Below are 7,268 nucleotides of genomic sequence, written 5' to 3'. Positions count from 1 at the left end.
TGAAATGTGAAAAAGAAAATAAAAGTGGAGAACTCTTTGGAGGTTCTAGGACGATTGTGAGAATCACCAGGGATTGATAATGCAGATGGAGGAAAGAAGGCCTCCAGAGGGTCAGGGTGTAATAGACATTCTATTTAGTGAAGCTTTATAACCCTCCAAGATACTAAACTGGAATTACTTTTGAAAGAAACAAGGTAGTGGGGTTCAGGACATGCTGCCCCCCAAATATGGCATCATGGTATTTGAGAAAACAGCAGAAGCAGAAGAGCCATTCTCCTCTTCCCCTCACTCTTCTTCCATGGAGCAGGGCATGAGACCTTCATTCAAAAAATATCCTTTCAAACACAGAGAAAAGGACCATCCTTACCTCTGAGGACACAGGGACACAGAGAAGAATATGAACAAACAGACCTTGCTTAATTCCCCCTTAATTCTTAATTTTTATTACCATTAGATCATGCCCTTTTGTCGTCCAATCACACTTAATCAAACCTCAGCATAAAAATCTCCAAGTTTCTCTATTTCTTTAGGCCTTCATTTCTTTATGAATGCTCTCATGTCACATAAAACTTATATTAAATAAATGTGTATGCTTTTCTCTTGTTAATCTGTCCTTTGTTATTAGGGCCCAAGCCATGAACTTAATGATAGATTAAAAAAAAAAAAGTTATTTCTTTTCCCCTCCAAAGGTAACTCTTACATTCAAACACATCAACTCAAGATGGGAGGCAATTTTATCTTGACTAAATCCTTCTGGAACTACGGACACCAGGAAAGGAAGAAAGGCCCTGTGGCTTTTCTACATGACATAGAGCAGATGGTCAGCAAACTCCCCGTGGGCAGTGAATTCACTGTGCTCGGACAAGTCAAAAAAGGTTAAACCAACTAACACCATGAAACAAATGAAAGAATGCTACTTGAGTCTTTGTGAAGTCAAAGTTTCAAATAAATTGTTCAGTCCAACAGAATAGTTGCTTTCTTTTCATTGTTTTAACCTGAGGGAAGAAGAAAAATAAATCAATGTCAGATTTTTTTTTGAAACCACTTCTGGTAGCTGGGTAAAATATATAAAGAAAATGAAAATAATCATTTGCTTGTGGGAAGAGAAAGCCAATAAAATAGAAGCTTCCTTCTAAGAGTACATTGCTAGGGTTCAAGACACATTACACCCAAGATATGGTGCCTTGGCATATTAAATATTTTAAGCTGAAAGAATTTGAGAAAATAGTAGAAGCAAGAAAGTATCCCAGACCGTCTCCCACCCTTCTCTTCTGATGCAGGTCCTAAAACCTAGGAAGGATTTTCTAACCTTTCCGTGAAGCAGGTCGTTAAGACACTCACGTCAGAGGTTCCCTGCCTACACTTAAAAGAAAGGAACATCTTTATCTCCGAAGGCATAGGGACACAGAAAAGAATCTGAGGCAGATGTTGCTGAGTTCCCCAACCCCAAGTTTATTACCATTAGATCATACTTTTTAACCCAATCATACTTCTTCACAACTATCCACTTACTCATCCAGCTTAGCATTAAAACATACACAGGTTGGCCAGACGTGGTGGCTCACGCCTGTAATTCCAGAACTTTGGGAGGCCGAGGCAGGCGGATCATGAGGTCAGGAGTTTGAGACCACCCTGACCAACATGGTGAAACCCCGTCTCTACTAAAAATACAAAAATTAGCCTGGTGTGGTGGCACACGCCTATAGTCCCAGCTACTCAGGAGGCTGAGGCAGGAAAATCATAGGTTCAAACCTGGGAGGCAGAGGTTTCAGTGAGCCAAGATCGCGCCACGGCATTCTAGCCTGGCAACAGAGCAAGACTCCATCTCAAAAAAAAAAAAAAAAAAAAAAAAGAGAAAGAGTCCTTGTCTTTTAGAGATGTATACTAAAATACAGTTGTCCCTTGGTGTCCATGGAAAATTCATTCCAAGATGCCCACAGATACCAAAATCACACCACTGCACTCCAGCCTGGGCAACAAAGCAAGACGCTGTCTTAAAAAAAACAGAAAAACAACAACAAAAAAAACACTGGTTTACCTGTTTCTTCAGGTCTTCATTTCCGTATGAAGGTTCCCGTGTCACATAAAACGTGTGTTAAATAAGTCTATCCTTTTCTTTAATCCATCTTTCCTTATAGAGGCCTCACGGTGAACCTAGCAATGGGTGAGGAAACGATATTTTTCCTCTGTCACAATACATTGGTGTTTTTGTTGTTGTTGTTGTTTTGAGACAGTGTTGCTCTTGTCACCCAGGCTGGAGTGCAATGGCACGATCTTGGCTCTTTGCAACCTCCGCCTCCCAGGCTGAAGCGATTCTCCTGCCTCAGCCTCTTGAGTAGCTAGAATTACAGGCATGCACCACCACGCCCAGCTAATTTTGTATTTTTAGTAGAGACGGAGTTTCACCATGTTGGCCAGGCTGGTCTCGAATTCCTGACCTCAGGTGATCCGCCTGCCTCGGCCTCCCAAAGTGCTGGGATTACAGGCGTGATCCACTGCACCCGGCCGCAATACATTGTTTAAAAAGGAAGTTTAGAGATATTTTTTTCTCCTCTGCGCTTCCCCAAAAGCTATGAGGTACACAAACTGTATCAAAATAGGGCTGCTTTCTGGATGTCATGTTTTAAATAGTACTATACATATTGCCGGGCGCGTAATCCCAGCACTTTGGGAGGCCGAGGCGGGTGGATCACGAGGTCAGGAGATCAAGACCATCCTGGCTAACATGGTGAAACCCCGACTCTACTAAATGTACAGAAAATTAGCCGGGCGTGATGGCGGGCGCCTGTAGTCCCAGCTACTCGGGAGGCTGAGGCAGGAGAATGGCGTGAACCTGGGAGGCGGAGCTTGCAGTGAGCCGAGATCGCGCCACTGCACTCCAGCCTGGGCGACAGAGCAAGACTCCGTCTCAACAACGACAACAAAAAAAATAGTACTATACACATGCGTTCCAAGTGTTTAAAGGCCCATTCAATGTTTTAAATAAAAGCAATTTAAGGAATGGATAGAGAGTGCACTACTAAATATAGCAACATAATTACTTTCATGTAAATTATCTCCTCTACATAGTGTTAGAACAATGAGAACAAAAAAATGTTTATACTGACAAAATTTGAATAAGTAGAAGAGGTGGATTTGGTTCAGAATGTCCATAACTTCATCCATAGACAAAGAGTAGGGAGCCCCTTTAATTTCCTTTGCATTTGGGGAGTTTTCCATGGTGCATTCAGATCATGTGTCCCTGCGTGATCAGGTAAGAGAAGGCTAGAATTACTAATGATGAAAGGAGGCAGCACAAGAGCAAGATGCAAAACAGCTCTTCCTTTTCTCACCTCATCTGGATGGATCTGAATTTCAACCATCATTTTGTTCTCAAAGTGATGGTGGGTCCATTTTCCAAAAGCAGGTTAGAGACATTGCAAATTAAGTTCTACAGATTCTTTCTCTTAAGTGCCAAAGAAGAAATGTGATGTCATTATGCTGACTGGCTATTTCGTCCTGCCTATTTGTATGCACTTCTCAGATAATAAATTGAGGGCAGTTTAAATTAAACATCATTGGCCAGGTGTCGTGACTCACGCCTGTAATCCCAGCACCTTGGGAGGCCAAGGTGGGTGGATCATTTGAGGCCAGGAGTTCAAGTCCAGCCTGACCAACATGGTGAAACCCCATCTCTACTAAAAATACAAAAAGTTAACTGGGCGTGGTGACAAGCGCCTATAATCCCAGCTACTCGGGAGGCTGAGGCAGAAAAATTGTTGGAACCCAGGGAGTGGAGGTTGCAGTGAGCTGAGATCGTGCCACTGCACTCCAGCCTGGGCGACAGAGTGTGACTCTGTCTCAAAAATAAAAATTAACCATCATTCAGCAAGCATCAGCTATTGTCCAGGTATATGGAAATAATAAACCCAGAGGTCTTGTCCTTGAAATAATTTTTTAGAATAGAAAGTTGGAAAGCTGTGATTTAAAAAAAAAAAGTTTAATTATCAGAATAATGGGGTATTAAGGTTCAGGAGTAGAAGTGACTTCTAATACTGTGTTGTCTTTTAGGTAAATGCAGGGATTGACCCAGAGCCCTCAGTAGACTTCAATTTAATATTCTCTAGCATAAGTCAACATCTGGAAGTCAACACTGAGCACTGCACCTGAGAAGCTGAACAGGAGAGTTGTCAGGAGATCATGGGTCTCTGGCACGCAAACTAGGCCATTGGTTAGGCCATTGTTTTCCTTTACTGCAAGCTTCCAAAAGTCTCCAGAAAAGAAAAACTATGCCATTTTACGGAAAATTTGGGAAACAACAGCAGGATCAGCATTTCATTTCATTAATATAGATAGTACGGAGACCAAGTACAAACGCTCTTGTTTTTAACTCGAGTTCATAATTTATTTAGATTTCCTTAGTTTTTAACTATGTTCCAGTATCCCATTGATGTAGGATATTTTCTTGAACGCTTTATGGGACTCATGACAGGGATGCCCCATTTACTCAGTCCACCATGCTCCACCCCCGCCGAAGGGAGCACGTAGGTAATGGAGCGCAGGAACCAGCTGGCTGCTTTGGCAACAGCAGACGCAAACTCTGTGTAGGCCCTGCGGTGACGTCCGGGTGGGGGTGACCCTAAGGCCCCAGAGGTGTATTACAATGCTCTTTTAGCTCTGCCGTCCACAAACAGCAGAGTGTTATCAGCTCAGTAAGCCTTTTTCCTCATTGCGTGGGGTGGCTGTCCTCCACCAGCAAGGGCAAAGGGCCAGTGTGACAGCCTTTTTGAGTATCCGCATTTGGTGGTTCTGAATTCTTGTCTGGTGCCCAAGAAGAATGAGGTCATGTGGATGAATTGAAGGACGGTGAATGCAGAAAACTTTATTGAGTGATGAAAGCAGCTCTCAGTGGAAAGGGGAGCTGGAAAGCGGATGGGAAGTGCAGGTTGCTCTCTCCTGAAGTCAAGTTGTCTGTCTGCTTCTCTCCTCCAAAGTCAAATTGCCTCTCTCCAACATCCAGCCATTGTCCCTGAAGTCAAGTTGCCTCTCCTTGATGTCCAGCTGCTTCTCATCTCTACCAGCTGAGTTGCAGATCTTTGTAGGCACAGGATGTGGGGCAGGGCGTGGGGTGACTCATGCCTGTAATCCCAGGACTTTGGGAAGCTGAGGCAGGCAGATCACCTGAGGCCAGGAGTTCAAGTGCAGCCTGGCCAACATGGTGAAACCCTGTCTCTACTAAAAATACAAAAAATTAGCTAGATGTGGTGACGTGCACTTGTAGTCCCAGATACTCAGGAGGCTGAGGCAGGAGAATTGCTTGAATCCGGGAGGTAGAGGTTTCAGTGAACTGAGATTGTGACAATGCACTCCAGCCTTGGTGACAGAACAAGACTCCATCTCAAAAAAAAAAAAAAATTATTCAGAAAGAACCAATCAGGAGAGAGAGGGCAAACAGGGACAGAAGTTCTCACTTTGGCCCTTGGGCTTCAGGCTTTTCAGCTTGAAGGTGGGGCGAACCTGCCCATTTGCCTAGAGTTTCTCTCGCCTCTATCACCATAAAATATTCTTATACAATGAAAAGAATACAGGAATATAGAAAGAAGAAAAACTATTTTGTGTTGACTTACCTAGGAAAAGGTTAAAGGCAGCTTGGATGTATGCAGCACTCAATTGGCTGACCTTACTGGGAAAGGCTTAGTATAGCCTTTCACCTATTGCCTGCTGCCCTTTTGGGTCAGGTTCTTCCCTGGGGTGAAGAAGAGATGTACAGTGAGCAACAACACCCCAAACATGAAGTCACATTGCTCCAGGTCACCCAGAAACACAGTAACTCTGAGTTGACTACAAACACACTCTTGCTTCCTTAGGCCAGCCCATGGTGGTTAAGATTTGTTTGGTAGTGAAATCTCTCAGGCAGTATGACATCCTGGGCCTTGTCCCACACAGAGAGCAAAAGGAACTGTGAAATAGTGACAGTCTCATTAAGAGAATGGTGTTTTTTCAGTGGAACATCAGTCACCACTAAATAATTGTTATAAAGGAAATGTAGCTCCTACAATGGGGAAATTCTTTCAGGACCAGTCCAAAGGTGAGAGTATATTAGCAATAATCTAAAAATGAGAATGCAATTATGAAATAATCTCTCCCACCCCCAATCCCACCCTCCCACGTTCTAAATGTTTTCTTTCCCCCAAAAAAACTTCAGAACAGTGGTCCCCAACCTTTTTGGGAACAGGAACCAGTTTTTCAAAAGACAATTTTTCCACGGATGGGAAGGTGAGGGTGGAGGGTTGGGTTGGGGTTATCAGGCATTAGATACTCATGAGGAGCATGCAACCTAGATCCTTCACATTCACAGTTCACAATAGGATTCACACTCCTATGAGAATCTAATGCCGTGGCTGACCTGACTCGAGGCTGAGCTCAGGTAGTAATGCTACTACCTTCCCTTCACCTCCTGCTGTGAGGCACAGTACCAGTCTGCAGCCTGGGGGTTGGGGATCCCTGCATTAGAACATAGTCTAAATTAAGACAAACACACGAATAAAAGCAGCATCATACCACCACCTGCAAAGTCATTTTTCAACTACAAACCCACATCCCATTGAGCCCAAAATGCAGGGGGTGGGGGGTGCAGAGGAGATGAAATGGTTAAGAGCAGGAAGGGCAGATAATACCTAAACTTCTGATAGGAATGATGGTGCTTTCATTGAGATAGGAACTCTGGACGAAGACTAGGTTTGGATAAGAAAGACTATAATGAGAAAGAATCAGGAGAGAGAGAGAGAGAGAGAGAGAGAAACACCCTGAAAATAGAGAAATGGAAACAAATGATAAAACCACAACTGAGAGAAAACAGTAAGGAACTGATGAGTGCATATAGGTTGAATGGTTAATCCTAAAGAAAAAAGAACACTGATTCCTGTGCATTAGGAAACTCCTTACTCTAAGCTAGAAAACGCCTTCTTTTAAACTAAGGGACTAACATTTGTTGGTGGCTTTGCATGTAGCTAGCACTGTGCTTCAGCACTTTCTTGTACAGTTCACCCTTGAACAGCATGAGTTTGAACTTTGCAAGTCCACTTATACATGGATATTTTTTCTGCTTCTACCACCCCTGAGACAGCAAGACCAACCCCTCCTCTTCATTCTCCTCCTCACCCTACTCAGTGTGAAGATGGCAAGGGTAAAGAGCTTTATGATGATTCATTTCCACTTAATGAATAGTAAATATATTTTATCTTCCTTATGATTTTCTTAATGTTTGCTTTTCTCTAACCTACATCATT

The 7,268-nt window shown here is 43.2% G+C and overlaps 1 long non-coding RNA gene across 2 annotated transcripts, besides 1 other annotated feature; it reads right to left on the bottom strand.

The window, feature by feature from the left end:
- Positions 1-471: 471 nt before the first annotated feature.
- On the bottom strand, positions 472-5,704 carry LOC105379156 (uncharacterized). 2 transcript variants are annotated; one of them, XR_948725.2, is made up of 3 exons: positions 5,607-5,704; positions 2,039-2,154; positions 472-995 (listed from the first exon to the last, which is right to left on the bottom strand). It is a non-coding gene; the product is annotated as an uncharacterized LOC105379156 (long non-coding RNA). The 2 variants fall into 2 exon arrangements; XR_948726.2 differs by lacking the exon at positions 5,607-5,704 and adding an exon at positions 3,108-3,229.
- Positions 6,429-6,548: a silencer, noted in NCBI's record as "silent region_16279". NCBI's record gives its function as "represses an Ori minimal core promoter by ATAC-STARR-seq in GM12878 lymphoblastoid cells {active_cell/tissue: GM12878}" and the evidence as "EXISTENCE:reporter gene assay evidence [ECO:0000049][PMID:35858748]".

The sequence above is a fragment of the Homo sapiens genome, chromosome 5 (assembly GCF_000001405.40).
Source record: "Homo sapiens chromosome 5, GRCh38.p14 Primary Assembly".
Lineage (NCBI taxonomy): Eukaryota > Metazoa > Chordata > Mammalia > Primates > Hominidae > Homo > Homo sapiens.
Note: the sequence above shows the minus strand (reverse complement) of the source record. Positions and strands in the feature narration are given on the sequence as shown.